Raw genomic sequence first — 16,293 nt, forward strand, 5'->3', positions numbered from 1 at the left:
TCATTAGGATTTGGAAACTGCATACTGAGTCAGTTCCTCAGTGGGGTCCTTCAGACCAGCTGACATCAGTAGTTTCACTGGTACACAGGATCTGAAAGAATATCTCTAACGGGAAACTTAACATTTCATAATCTTCAGGTTGTTATCTATAGAACAGTTCAGGAGAACTATAATCTAGGGCCTGCCTGATTCTAGCACAAACAGCACCAAACAACTGTGAGGAAGCAGGTCCAAGAGCAGGCTGCTCTCAAGAGTAATGCAAAATTGCTGCAAGCTTGTTTATTTTTGTTTCTCCCCTTCCCTTCTTCCCTGATTAATTTTATAAAGTTTATAGGGACAGTTTCAATGGCTTCAACACAGTATTGCCAGGTAAGGACTTGAACCCAAGAGGCGGAAGTTGCAGTGAGTCAAGACCAAGCCACTGCTGCACTGCCCAGTCTCAAAAAATAAAAATTAAAAAAAAATCAGGCCAACACCTGTTGACACACATTGCTAGGAATCCCTTTGGGAAAGCAAATGGGCTCACGGAACACACGGAGGCCATGGTGGGTGACAATGTTAACTAATTCTGTTCATGGTGTCCAGGGTACAGGCCTGAGGGTCCACTCGCCACCTCTGCCCAAAGCCACGTCTCCACTGCTCCCCTCATCTCCGCACGGATTCCTCCCCACGTGCCTCCCCTTTTCTTGGACTGCCGACACCTGACACCACCAAGGTGACTGCTCCTCCCCACAGCTTCTCTCCTTCAGGGGACTTCACTTCTTGTTCCTCGCTCCATAGTGAGGCGTGACCCAGCGGTCAGCCCAAGGTCTAGCATGCGAATCAGGGACGTGATGGTTCTTTGGGATTCTAGGGATCTACCTGGAGAATAGATGAAAGTAACAAAAGTTTTACATACCAATATTCAAAACTGCATCAAACTACCAGAAACACTTGCCACTTTCAAAGATAGACTATGCTAAGTAGCTCCAGGTGTGTGCCACCATGCCTGGCAAATTTTTGTATTTTTAGTAGAGACTGGGTTTCACCATGTTGGCCAGGCTAGTCTCAAACTCCTGACCTCAGGTGATCCACCTGCCTTGACCTGCCAAAGTGCTGGGATTACAGGAATGGCTCTTGACTCTAACTGCAAGGTCCCTAGATCATTAGATCATTTCCTGAATATCTTATGCTTCAGGCATTGGCCATCACTTGGGTTACCATTGTCATAAATCAAAAGCCTCCACAACCAAGGCCCTTAAACATGGGATAGCCTGTGCAGGGCAGAAGTATAAAGAATATAGAGAAGTGAAGCACAAAACTTGTTGCATTGGCCAGGAATTAAACCAGGGTCTCCTATGCAGGCGGTGAGAATTCTACCACTGGACCACAAATCCGGCTCTTATGTGTGGTCCTGGAGAAACAATTGAAATACAATACTGAAAAAGACAGAAATTGTTCCAAAAGAAGCTTTTTGCAGTATTGACTAAAAGCTAACAGTAGACATCCAAAACCAAGGTTTTTACAGAATACTTTTACTAGACAAAACTATAAATATTAAAATAGCTTATTTGATCAAACTTTAATTCCGAAAAAGGCTCCTTCCAACTGCGTAACAGACTCCTATAGAAAAACATCAGAAATTCATCCAGGTTCCTTGTTTCTGATCCTAAATCTTCAATTTAGGACCTCAACCTCAAACTGTTGCTTTAGTGGCTCTGGGAAGGAAGCACTAACTGGCAGCATAGGTAAGTAAAGTTTTAATCTAGGGAAGAAATAAGAAGCAGAATCAGAATTAGAATTAGAAGAAAGAGGGAATATGCTATACCAGAATATCATAGGCAAAAAAAGAAGACAAAGAAAGAGGAAATGAAAGGACAGAAGGTAATGCTAATGGAGTTAGTTATTTGTGGCCGTTTTTTGTAAAAGAGTAATGATCAGTCTTGTAATCATTATAATACTATTATTTGCTTTCTAAAATGTCTAAAATATTTGAAGGAATTTATGATATAAAAAGATGAATAATGCTTGCAGTCAGTGTTTCATTGTTTGGGAGAACCCAGTTTCCTCAGTTAATACACTTTCGTGTAATAGCTGTTTAAGGAGTAACATGGTTTAAAGACATATTAATGGCTGAAATATTAACATATTGGTCTTTTGATGAAGTTCAAATAGAGAGATTTCTTTCCCCAATTTTCCCTGGAAAGATTAAACTGAAGAGAAAAATCTGGAAAGTTTGCCCCACATGTTGGGTCTGGGAGTCATTATGATTTTTTCAAAGACAGGAGTTGTGTATGACATGGAATCATGCTTCTTCTCTAGTTGAGAAGCCAAGCTAGGTCCAGGCTGAGTCATAAACTTGAACCCAACAAGGAAATCACCCTTCACACTGGCCTTGCAGAGCTTTGGCTCAATCTGTTCTCTGCCCAACACCCAAGACACATACTAGTTCTGGCCAACAAACCTTCACATATTGTCTGTGTCAACCAGAGCTACATTTATTCCGAAATCTCTTTCTAAAATACAAACCTGTACTTTCTACTCTCAACCCCAAAATTTACAAGAGGCCTCATATGCATCTCAGAGTCACAGATGCTAAAACTCAACACACCAGTGAGTTCCCTGTCAGCATCATATACTACCCTCTACCTCAATGATCAGCCCCAAGCCAGCATCTCCCAAAGAGTAGTGTGTTGCTGTGGGTGTTTCAACAGATCACTAAAACCTGCTTCTACCCCTGCCTAGACACTTATCCTCACTGCTATGCATCCTGCTCCTCAAATCAGATCTTGATATCTTCTTTAAACACTCCCAATCTCCCAACACGACAATTCATTTCCAAAGAATTATAGTATTTAAATTTATTGGACTCTATACAGACTCATTCCCACTTTGTTACTACGCTGGTCCATCCATCACCTCCATTAACATAAGTAGATCAAAAACTGGCCTCTCTACAGCCAGTCTTGTCTATTCCAACCCATTTGCCACACTGTATCCTGAGTGACCTTTCCACAGTGTAAATCTGGACATACCTGTAGCCTTAAATCATATCTACCAACATAGTAGCCAAGCAACAGCAATCTCTTTTCCTTTGGTCATTAGAGTCCTAGAGACCAAGAGGATGTTGGGAAAAGAATTACCATGGATCAGCTCTCAGAGGCAGTAGGTTCTGGACTCATGCTGGCTTTGATACGTGTGCATTGGAAAAGCTCAAGTACCTGGCAATACTTGGAGATTAGGAAGAAAGGATGAAAATAAACCACTGCACTAAATAACATGACAATAATCACTTATACAAAAATTTTAAAGATAAGGAATATTTAAAGATTTATTAGTTTATTATAGCTTTATAGTTGGAGAGTGAAGAAGAAAATACCAAAGCTTTTTGTCTTAACAAAATGGTGCAGACAGATTAACATATATTGTCACCTATGATAACCAGTCAGCATAAAAAGTATTTAGAAAGGAATGGTTATATTCTCTAAGAGATATATTCTGATGTCATGTTTTTTGCTTTAGAGTCTATTAATATAGCCACCTTTTTGTTAATGTTTTCAGTCAAGCTCCTTTTCTCGCCTTTCATTTCCAACCTTTCTCTCACTTTCTGGTTTAGATACAACTCCTAAATATATCATATAGTTAATTTAAAAATCCAGTGTAGCAGTATTTCGGGGGTTTGTTTTACTGGATAATTTGGTCCACTTACATTTAATGTAATTGTTGATATATATTAATTTTAAATCTACCATCTTTATTTTTTTCTGTTTGTTCTGCTTGTTCTGTTTCTATGTCTTTTCTTGTCTGTTTTGGATTGGTTATTTTTAACTATTATAACATTATATTTTTTTACTTTTTTATATGCTTTGCTTCACTTTCTTCCTTATTGTATTTCCTTTAATTGTATTTAAGTTGCTTCTATTCTTTTGTGGTTACTTTAAAAATTACAATCTTAATCCTTAATTTTTTTTTTTTTTTTTTTTTTTTGAGACAGAGTCTCACTCTGTCTCCAGGCTGGAGTACTGTGCCACGATCTTGGCTCACAGCAACCTCTGCCTCTCGGGTTCAAGTGATTCTCCTGCCTCAGCCTCCCGAGTAGCTGGGACTACAGGTGCAGCTAATTTTTGTATTTTTTTAGTAGAGACAGGGCTTCACTGTGTTGGCCAGGATGGTCTCCATCTCTTGACCTCATGATCCGCCCACCTTGGCCTCCCAAAGTATTGGGATTACAGGCGTGAGCCACCGTGCCCAGCTAATCCTTAATTTATTAAACATAGTAATAATTGATACCGTTATCCTCTTCCTGCACAATATATGGATGTTGGAATACTTTTATTCCATTTAGTCTCATTCTATATATATGCTGTTATCATTTATTAGGTCTAAGTATTAATAGTTTTAAACCCCAGAAGACTAGACATATATTTTATGTAGTTAATGTTAATTTAGATTTATCAACATATGTGCTGCTATCTTACTCTTTATTTCTGCTATGTCTCTGAATTTCCATATGTAATCATGGTCCTTCTGCCTGAGAAACATCATTTAGAATTTCCTTTTGTGTTGGTCTGCTTGTGAAAAACTGTTTCAGCTATTTTTCTCTGAAAGTGTCTTTATTTGCTTTAATTATTGGAGATTATTTTTACTAAGTATGTAATTCTGGAGGCAGTTATTTTCTTTCAGCATATTGAAGATATTTACATTTGATTGTTTCTTTTCAGAAGGCAGCCAATTGTCTCGCTGCTGCTTATTTGAATGTAATGTTCCTTTTTTTCCTCTGTTTTTTGTCTTTACTATTTTTGTCTTTGTTTTTTTTTTTTTATTGTCTGCAGTTTTACTACTCTGTCTTTAGGTATGGAGTTCCCTTTATTTATCTTCTTTGATTGGTAGGCCTTCTAGAATCTGTTGACTTTTGAGTTTCATTTTGTCTGGAAAACTCTCAAGTATTATCTCTTCAGTTATTGCCTCTATTTTCTCTCTCTTCTACTTTTGAGCCTCTAACTAAAAATAAAGTAGACTTTCTCACTCTATTTGTTATATTTTTGTGTTTGTGTATTAAATATTATTTTTTCTCCTTGTTATATATTCTGAATTTTTTTCTTCTTCCTCATCTCCCACTTTACTAGTTCTCTTTTCAGCTGTGACTGCTCTCCTGTTAAACTCTTCCATTGAGCTCTTAATTTTGTTTTGTTTTTTTTTTTCCGAATTTCTGTTTGCCTCTCTCTAAATCTATTCTGTCATTTTTTTGTTGTTTCCAATTGGTGTGTAAATTGTTAACAAAACCCTTTTCTCCTTCTGCATGATAATTTGACCTTAATTAACTTTCCAGCTCTGTCCACCTAGAGCCTTCTAATGACAAAATGTCAACTATGTTACTAAGCAAACATTGCATATCATAAAAAAGACTCCTAACTGATGGACTACACTTGGACTGGGAAAACTAAGTATCTGGAAGAAGCCAGACTTTGAGCTTCTCTGAATGCAGTGACTCCTATAACTTGCATACACCTGGCATGGGCATTGGAAACTACTCTATTAAGTTCTTAACAAGAGATAATGGCTCCAGGATGGTGCCACATGCACCTCAGCTGTCCCCAAGTAGACAATGAGGGGTGGAGAGTCAAGAGACTATCTCCTAGGTACTGTGTGGACTGCTGCTGCAGGGACTGCTCCTATAGAAATATCATGCCTGATGCTGCCCTGATAGCAAGCTATAATTCTTATCCTACATCTCTCGGATTAATCTGGTGCCAAGTATGGCCTCTGAGATTCTTGTGAGCCTGAACGTTAACTTGAAGCTAAGAAAACATCCAAGTGGGCAAAATTCTTCCAAATTTTTGTTTCATGAATAATGTAGACATCATTGTTTTGCAGTCTTTCTAATATATCTAATATTTGGGGGCTTGATTTCAACTGCCTGACATGTCTGCTGGTTTTCACACCTGGTTTAGTTTCTTTGGGTTCATTATTATTTTTGAGTATGTGCCATATCTTGTATCTGGAAAAATATTTTTGGAATAATCTGAGATCTACAATGAAAGCTTTCTTGCCCAGCACCTGGGGGTACTTCCAGCCCAGAACCACCTTTAATCAAGTAAAAGGTGTGAAAGATGCTCTGAACTTAAACTGTGTAACATAAGGGATGTTTCTTTTATAGTTCATTTTTATCCCAAGATTATAGAAATGTAAGGTCCTACCTTATTGTAGGATTATTCTCCTGATAAACTCCCCAACTTGGGCAGACTCTGGTCTTCTATTTCTGTCCCATTAGTCACAGAAGGCTGTCAAACCCTAATATGCAGGTCAGGAAATGTCCTTAGCCAAAAAATGGCTTCTCTGCTTGCTTACGGCTCTGGGTTCCAGTTTTTCCTTTACTTCAGGCCTCGTAATTCTTCAGTGTTAATCATCATCTTGATGCTTTTAAAAATATTTGTTTCCTATATATTACCTAAATAGCTTAGTCAGTGTTACCAGAAATGTATCATCAACTTTTAAAATATACTAAATGCTTAAAAAAATAAAGTCATATTTTACTGCTATGGCTCTGACTTGAAACTAAGTTGATGAGGCCATGAGCTGGAGCACAAATCAGTCCCCCCACTGTGAAACTGTCAGGTCACCACAAATACAGATTTTATTAGCAATGCAGAATTTTTCTTTTCCCTCTTAAGTCATCCAGTGACCAATCGGTTCTAGGCCACAAGATCAAAAACTCCGGTCTCAAAATCTAACAACCCCCAGCTGGTAATCTCACACATGTTCAGATTTTACTTTGTAAAAGAGAATCAAGCCACATCATATAAAATTAAACATTTATTATTTTTCTTAATAGTCTAATAGAGATATACATTTGTGTATATTGGCCGGAAATTGGGCTAAAATTTTCACAAATGGAAATCAAGAATGTTACCATAGAACTATCAATGCCAACTTTAACTATTTGAATCAGATGGCATAGCCTAGTTTCCTCTACAACTGACAGCACACTCTTTGGTATTTTGGTATTTTTCAGTGTCCTTGAAATGTTTAACTACCCACTAAAGAACAGGTCACATGGAATTAATAAACAAAGGGCTTCAGTTTCCATCAAGCACCTTCAAGTGACAGGAACAGGGATTTAAATAAAAGGATCTAAGTCAGCACAGGAAAGTGACTATGCTGCCAAAGTGACTCAAACTCAAAAGGACAGGATGAGACTTACTCAGAACTTCGAGGAAGTGTAGAGAAATTATCCACCACTTTTTATCCTAGAGGTGCTTTTGTGGTTGTGACCATACCGTAGAATGATTTGGGGATCCCTTCCAACTGGAAGGACATCTTAGACTGAGGGAACCCAAGAAACCTGATTTCGGTCACCCCTGACCATCATAAATCCCATGCAACAGGTCCATGCATTATCTAATGTTGACTCTGGGAATGGTCATTGTCATTGTTTCCTATTTGAATGGTTGTCACATTTCCTGCTTCAAATGATATCCAGAAATGATGGCTTGGGACCATATTCTCAATTTTTAGGTGGCAAATAGACTCCAGAGACATCACACATAATAAAATACTTGGACTTTGAAAGGAAAGAGTCAAGTCTATGACTTACAAGCTTATAAAGATCCCTCAGATGAGTTATGTACATGGATTGAGAATCAGAAAAGGAAGGATGCTCTCTCAGGAGATAGAAAAACCAGATAAAAGGAACAACTGAAATTATCTGACCCATCCCCTCATCGCCTGTGTAGAAGGGAAATGCTTACTTTATCTAACCAGTGGATAACAGACAGCCTCTTTCATTTTGGAGCTACCAAAAAGAAAAATAAATTGTGGTTTGGTTCAGTTCCCTTTTGACCAGTATGTTCTTGAAATTTCGAAAACATTTTACTCTTTTTCCTTTTAGTGTTTCAGTGTGGATAATTTCATTTGATCTATTTTCAAGTTCATTTTTTAGGCCAAAATTTGTCAAATATTGGCAATTTCATATGATTCAACTTAATATATTAACCTAATGTGCCAAATTCAAATTTGTTTCTATACTACTAAATAATATCCCCCGAAACGCTTTGCCAATTTACTCCTACTGACAGTGTATGAAAATATCCATTTTATTTCATCCTTTACAAGGTGCTATTATCAATAATTTATACTTTTACCAATCTGGGAAGTGAAAAAGACATTTAATTGTCTTGACTTGCATCTCCCTTATTACTGGTTAGTTTAAATTTCTATTCTCCGTTCATTTTTCTGTTTATTTTCTTTTGTAGTACCTACTACTTCTTGATATCTTTATTTAAGCTTTATATATTTACTTTTTACCTGTTAATTGTTGTAATCACCCACTAAAGAGTAAATTCTGGCTGGGCACAGTAGCTTACGCCTATAATCCCAGCACTTTGGAAGGCCCAGGTGAATGGATCACTTGAGGCCAGGAGTTTGAGACCAGCCTGGCCAACATGGTGAAACCCCATCTCTACTACAAATAAAAAAATTAGCTGGGCATGGTGATGCACACCTGTGATCCCAGCTACGCAGGAGACTGAGACACAATAAACGCTTGAACCAGGGAGGCAGAGGTTGCAATAAGCCGAGATCACACCACTGCACTCCAACCTGGGCGAGGAAAAAGAAAAAGAATCAGTTCCATCAGAGCATGGATTAAGTCTCATTCACCACTCTAGTGCCTAGAACATTTTATGTACTCAACATATAATAGTTAAATGAATGAATGAAAGTTAGACTGTAGGGGTGTCCATGAAAGTAGATATTAGCTAAGTTCCCAGAGATTGACTCCTCTTTTCCTGGTTCTCACACTTCAAGCTCTGTTAAGCCTGGAGGAGGGTGTTTTGTCTTTAAAAAGATACAGCTCCAGGTTACCCCTTTGGACCAGTTCCTGTTCTTAGGTATCAGACTTCCTCTATTCATGAATGGTGGATATATATGATTTCCTGTGATGTTTCTTTACATTATGACCATAATGAGCGTTGATTTTTAGTTCCTGATCCCCTCATGTAATGACTGTTCAATTAATGACTTTTTGCCATAATGGCTATTATAAAGCTATGTCACTTTTTGGACAACTCCTTTTTTATTATAATGATTTGTCACCCCAAAATAAATAAACATGCTATAAGAAATTATATTTTGACATCATGGTTTCAAGCAGACACTATGTAGGAGGATGTGTATGAATGAGCATGTAGGGAAGTGGCCAAAGAGGGGCCCACCCTCTGTAATCTGCTTTTTGATGCTAAGGTGAGGACTCTGCAAACCACATCTTTTTTTTGCTTGCTGGCTTTATTAGTTTCTGTCAGTAAGGGGTGTTAAAAAGAGACTGAAAGGCTGGAGGAGGGATATAGGTCTGGCTGCTTCCTATTTTGTTTCTTGTTTCAATTAGCATCATCCCAGCCATAATTTTTTACTCTGAGAGTGGTCATTGTTTCCAGTTTCATTTCTTTTCCTTTCTTACAATCCCGGAGCCAGCCTCATGGCCCCCTCTCAAAGGCATGAGCATCAGCCAGTGGACACCTCTTCTTCAGAGATCTGAGTCCCTGCGACACTAGGTACTTCCTCTGAGTTCCAAGGCCACCAGCAACCTCCTTCTCAGAAGCCATCCTCCCAGTTATGTGTGGCCCTTCATCCAAGTTACCAAGTTCTAACAACCCAACCATTTTACCTTTGTTTCTACAACCCTAGGGTTGATCACTGCTTCGCTTTCTACACTTACTATCTCTGTGTTACATCAGTTCCCCTTTTGCCTTCTTAGACCTCCAATACCTGTATAATTCCTTGTGTTAAATTCCCTCTGGTATACTGTTCATTTTCTATTTTTTTTTTTTTTTTTTTTTTTTGAGACAGGGTCTTGCTCTGTTACCCAGACTCAAGTGCTGTGGTGCAATCATAGCTCACTGAAGCCTTAAACTCCTGGGCTCAAGTGAGTGTGCCACCATGCCCAGCTAATTTTTATTTTTTTTAGACACAGTGTCTCACTCTTTTTCCCAGGCTAATCTTAAACTACTAGATTCAAGTGATCCTCCCATTTTGGCATCTCAAAGTGTTGAGATTACAGGTGTGAGCCACCATGCCCAGCCCATTTTCCTTTTAGACCCTGAATGACACACAGTACTACTCACCAATTTACCTGACATGACCATTTGTAGTCAGAGAATATTGTGTGAAACAACTTTGAATTGCATGACTGTATTAGTCTGTTCTCACACTGCTAATAAAGACATACCTGAGACTAGGTAATTTAAAAAGAAAAGAGACTTGATTAACTCACAGTTCAGCATGGCTGGGGAGCCCTCAGGAAACTTACAATCATGACAGAAGGAGATGCAAATACATCCCTCTTCACATGGCAGCAGCAAGGAGAAATGCAGAGCAAAAGCGGGGAAAAGTCCCTTATAAAACCATCAGATCTCGTGAGAACTCACTATCATGAGAACAGCATGGGGGAAACCACCCCCACAATTCAATTACCTCCCACTGGGTCCCTCTCATTATGTGGGGATTATGGGAACTACAATTCAAAATGTGATTTGGGTGGGGACACAGCAAAACCATATCATTCTGCCCTGGCCCCTCCCAAATCTCATGTCCTCACATTTTAAAACACAATCATACCTTCCCAAAAGTCCCCCAAAATTTTAACTCATCCCATAATTAGCTCAAAAGTCCAAGTCCAAAATCTCATCCAAAGGCAAGTCCCTTCTGTCTATGAGCCTGTAAAATCAAAAGCAAGTTAGTTACTTCCTTGATACAATGAGAGTACAGGCATTGGGTAAATACAGCCACTGCAAATGGGAGAGATTGGCCAAAACAAAGGAGCTACAGGCCCCAGGCAAGTCCAAAATTCAATAGGGCAGTAATTAAATCCTTAAGCTCCAAAATAATATCCTTTGACTCCATGTCTCAAATCCAGATCACACTGATGCAAGAGGTGGGCTCCCATGATGTTGGGCAGCTCTGACCCTGTGACTTTGCAGGGTACAGCCCTCTTCCTGGCAGCTTTCACAGCTGGCATTGAGTGTCTGAGTCTTTTCCAGGTGCATGGTGCAAGCTGTCAGTGGTTTTACTATCCTGGGGTCTAGAGGATGGTGGCCCTCTTCTCACAGCTTTACTAGGAAGTGTCCCAGTGGGGACTCTGTGTCGGGGCTCCAACCCCACATATCCCTTCTGCACTGCCCTAGCAGAGGTTCTCCATGAGGGCTCTGCCCTTGCAGCACACCTCTGCCTGGGCATCCAGGCATTTCCACACATCCCCTGAAATCTAGGTTCCCAAACCTCAGATCTTGTCCTCTGCACACCTGCAGGACCAACACCATGTGAAAGCTGCCAAGGCTTGGGGCTCGCACCCGCTGAAGTCATGACTCAAGGTGTACCTTGGCCCCTTGTAGCCATGGTTGGAGTGGCTGGGACACAGTGCACCAAGTTCCTAGGCTGTACACAGCAGGGAGGTCTCTGACATGCCCTGAAGACCTTTTCCCCACTGTCTTGGCGATTAACATTTGGTTCCTCATTACTTATGCAAATTTCTGCAGCCAGCTTGAATTTCTCCCTAGAAAACAGGTTTTTCTTTTCTACCACATAGGCTGCAAATTTTCCAAATTTTTATGCTCTGTCACCTCTTGAACGCTTTGCTGCTTAGAAATTTCGTCTACCAGACACTCTAAATCATCTCTCTCAAGTTCAGAATTCCACAGATCTCTAGAGCAGGGGGTAAAATGCTGCCAGTCTCTTTGCTAAAGCATAACAAGAGACCTTTCCTCTAGTTCCCAACTAGTTACCATTTCCATCTGAGACCACCTCAGCCTGGACTTTATTGTCCATATCACTATCAGCATTTTGGTCAAAGCCATTCAACAAGTCTCTAGGAAGTTCCAAACGTTCCCACATCTTCCTGTCTTCTTCTGAGCCCTCCAAACTGTTTCAACCTCTGCCTGTTACCCAGTTCCAAAGTTGCTTCTACATTTTCAAGTATCTTTACAGCAGTGCCCCACTACCCAGTACCAATTTACTGTATTAGTCCATTCTCACACTGCTAATAAAGACATACCTGAGACTGGGTAATTTATAAAGGAAAGAGGTTTAATTGACTCACAGTTCTGCATGGCCAGGGATACCCCAGGAAACTTACAATCGCGGTGGAATGGGAAGCAAACGTGTCCTTCTTCACATGGCAGCAGCAAGAAGTACAGAGCGAAGTGGGGGAAAAACCCCTTATAAAACCATCAGATCTCGTGAGAATCATTCACTATCATGAGAACAGCATGAAGGTAACTGGCCCCATGATTCACCTACCTCCCACTGGGTCCCTCCCATGACATGTGGGGATTATGGGAGCTACAGTTGAAGATGAGATTTGGGTGAGGACACAGCCAAACCAAATCAATGACATATTTAGATGAACCCAAAATACTGTTTTTCATACACATGCCAAGCAAAGTGAATGAGAGGGTTGCATCTTCTATGACTCTTCAATCTGCTGTACATGTTCACCATTTCAATATTCTATAAAGCCTTTTTGTGTTTAGCTTTTATTTGGTCAAAGCCTTAAGGTAAAGGAAATTATTAATCACATTAAATTTGATATTGAATGCTGGTCTGGCACTGAATCTTCACTGACTTTGAAAGAATAATCCCCTCCCAGTCCTCCTCTATTGACCATCACCTATAACCAAGTCTCCTCTTCCTCCTTTGATGAATACAATAAAAATTCATATGTGAAAACTGTATTTATTTTATTTTTATCTATTATTTACATAAATTTAGTTTGTTTAATCTATATGTTTTCTATCTTTTGGGTATCTTGGGTTAATTTTTCTGTTTAGAATAACAAAAACTTTTTATTCACTTCACATATTTTCACTTAGTTGTAAGATTTTCAAACATAAAGTCATTAAGCAAATGTTTGTGTACAAGACACACAGATACAGAAACTGCCAGGAGAGACTCTGATAACTTCCATACTTCTAATTTTGCATATAAGCTGTCTTCAGGATACACAAAGACTGAGGGAAGAGAAGATGCTAAATGTAAATAATATACATTTATTTATGTATTCATTATCAAGCATATGTTATCTGAATGTCTTTGTAAAGCAATATACAAATAGAATAGGAACGTGATATATTTACTTCCCCAGTTGTGGTGTAAGCATCCTCTAAAAATGCTTACACCACAATTGGGGAAGTAAATATATCATGTATATAACGAATAGACTATAAAAAAGAACACATGGGGCAGGTACGACGGCTCATACCTGCAATCCAGAACTTTGGGAGGCCAAGGCAGATGGATCACTTGAGGTCAGGAGTTTGAGACTAGCCTGGCCAATGTGGTGAAACCCCATCTCTATTAAAAATATAAAAATTAGCCGAGCGTGGTGGCACAGGCCTGTAATCCCAGCTACTTGGGAGGCTGAGGTGGAGGATCCCCTGAACCTGGGAGGTGGAGGTTGCTGTGAACTGAGATCACACCACTGCCCTCCAGTCTGGGTGACAGAGTGAGACTCCATCTCAAAAAAAAAAAGAAATGAAAAAGCAGGAACACATGATAGGGTAGTCTGAGCTCTGTACAAATAGGAACAGTAACATAGACAAGGAGTAATTAGAGTAGGCTGAAAAAAAATCGAAAGATCTTCTTGAAAAAGATCCTGAAGAAATTTATGAAACTGAGTTGACTAAGGGAATAAGGAAGCACGTGAGTAAATACAGCAACATTACCTAAATTCCCTTTCCATCATCTCTCTGTCATCTTCTCCCACCTCTCCTAACCAACCCACAGGGATTTAAAAACATTATTGAATTTTTATCTAAATGTGATGGAGGATGGACAGGAAGAGAATTACTGATTACTCTCAGTCAGGATTCATCCTAGCAGCAATTATTTGTAATTTAACTGAAATAAGTCCATTTGACTGAAGAGACAGCTTGGAAATCACTAAAATGAGAAAGGAGATGTTTTAGAGAGTATGACTTCTATAAGTGAATGAAAGAGAAATCACCCTTAAACTCACTGGTTTGGGGAAGTGAAGTTCCCACAAATGTGACACACAGGAAATTGCCTTTCCACATGTGAGTTTTCTGAACTGAACCAACTGCCATCGATTTGCACTAGTAAGACAGTATTCCTAACCAAAGCAGGGAAAACAATGATGTGATCCCAAGAAGTCCTTGCACTCCCAGACTTCTAGTCTCATCTGTTTAATTTGACATTGTAGGGACCAAGAAAAAGCTTCCCCTTCTATCCTCTGAAAGTTTGCTGAAAATGGACTATAGACAAATTAATAGGAGAAAAAGCCATACAAAATGTATTTAACATGTATAGCTCAGGGGAATTAAAGGAGGATGGTTACCCAACAACCCAGTAAGGTCCAAATTGTTATACACCCTTCCTCACAGAGAAAGGGGAGATGAAGGGTGTAGCAGTAAATGGTTTTCAGGGGGAATGAGTGAACCCAAAGAACAGTGATCTGGGACAAAGTTCCTCTGAGCTCTGGGGTCAGTGGCCAGAAGGTGAAGGACAGAACTTTACTGTGAACAAAGGTTGTTTTATTATTCAGATAAAGCCTCTCAGGTACTCTCTCTGAGCTGCCCTTGGAGGAATACATGAAAAGTCTGTCAGGGCAAGGTGAGGACTCCTAGTTTCTTCTCTTGTGGTTAATCTTTCCTGGTTATTTCATGAGATTCCTAGGGAGGGAGTTTTAAGACAATTGCATTTCTATTTTATTTTATTTTATTTTATTTTATTATTTTATTTTATTTTATTTTATTTTATTTTATTTTATTTTATTTTATTTTATTTTTTGAGATGGAGTCTTGCTCTATCACCCAGGCTGGAGTGCAGTGGCACAATCTCAACTCACTGCAACCTCTGCCTCCCGTGTTTAAGCAATTCTCCTGCCTCAGCCTCCTGAGTAGCTGGGACTACAGATGCATGCCACCACACTCAGCTAATTTTTTGTATTTCTAATAGAGATGAGGTTTCGTCATGTTGGCCAGGCTGGTCTTGAACTCCTGGCCTCAAGTGATCCTCCTGCCTCAGCCTCCCAAAGTGCTAGGATTACAGGCATTAGCCACCGTGCCCAGCAATTCTTTTGGAATCTTTCTTAGTCAGCTGAGGAAATTCCATAGAGAGTCCCTGCTAGTGCTTCAGGAAAGTAAGAGGATGGGGGTGAGGTGTAGGTAAGGGTGAGGAGAGGTCAGAGAGAGATACCTTGAGGCTGCTTCTTTAGTTCAGCATGTCAAAGTGCCATATTTTGGGGTATTGTTTTCTGAGCCCCAGCAGCATCAAAGGTCATAGTTCCTGAAACTGCAGAGACAGCACTGAAGACTGCCATGTAGGAAACAGGATGTCTCTAAAGTGAAAAGAGCCAGGACTTGGATCTAGAAGTGAGTAGTAGAATGGGAAAGAATCTAGTCGTAACTTAGAAACCACCTCAGTCCTTCCTGGGTTAGCATTTGTCATCGTTTACTTAGGCTGCAGCTGAAGGGATTTGATTCAAGCCTCTGTGACTCAGCAGTGGGCACAAGCATTGCTATCCCCCTTTTTTCTAGGAAAATTGTTCAAAAGAAAACCTTGACACAAACTGCGCATTAACCCTATATTACAACATCTTCATAGAGTCAGGTGAGAAGAAGGGAGGCCAGAGGATCCAGTCTTGAATGCTAACGGTATCTTAAACAGGGTCTTTATTGAGTTCTACCTTAGTATGGTAAATTATAGTTGTAAGGAGAATGGTCTCCCCTTTGTCCCTTTTGACTACAAGAAGCCGGTGCTCACCCTCTGAAAAGTCAGAAGATGTACAACATCTGCTACTCCTACCAAATGCTAAGCCACTATGAGGATATAATGCTTTATTTTTATTTATTTATTTATTTATTTATTTAGAGACAGAGTCTCACTCTGTCACCCAGGCTGGAATGCAGTGGTGCAATCATGGCTCACTGCAGCCTCAAACTCCTGGGCACAAGTGATCCTCCTGCCTCAGCCTCCCAAGTAGCTGGGATTATAGGCATGAGCCACCAGGCTCAGCAATGTTTATGTTTTTTTGTGCGTGTGTGAGACAGAGTCACCCAGGCTGAAGTGTAGTGGCACAATCTCAGCTCACTGCAACCTCTGCCTCCCGGGTTCAAGCAATTCTCCTGCCTCAGCCTCCCAAGTAGCTGGGACTACAGGCACAAAACACCACGCCCAGCTAATTTTTGTATTTTTTTAGTAGAGACAGGATTTCACCATATTGGCTGGTCTTGAACTTCTGACCTCGTGATCCACCTGCCTTGGCCTCCCAAAGTGCTGGGATTACAGGCGTAAGCCACCGTGCCC

At 39.9% G+C, this 16,293-nt stretch overlaps 1 long non-coding RNA gene and 1 pseudogene across 2 annotated transcripts in view; one reads left to right on the forward strand and one right to left on the reverse strand.

The window, feature by feature from the left end:
- LOC105371406 (uncharacterized) overlaps positions 1 to 16,293 on the forward strand; it is a 45,129-nt gene that overhangs the window by 21,801 nt on the left and 7,035 nt on the right. The gene's annotated exons all lie outside the window — the stretch shown is intronic.
- Positions 1,306 to 1,376, reverse strand: TRR-CCT8-1 (tRNA-Arg (anticodon CCT) 8-1; annotated as a pseudogene).

Source organism: Homo sapiens, chromosome 1 (genome assembly GCF_000001405.40).
Source record: "Homo sapiens chromosome 1, GRCh38.p14 Primary Assembly".
NCBI classification, from domain to species: Eukaryota; Metazoa; Chordata; class Mammalia; order Primates; family Hominidae; genus Homo; species Homo sapiens.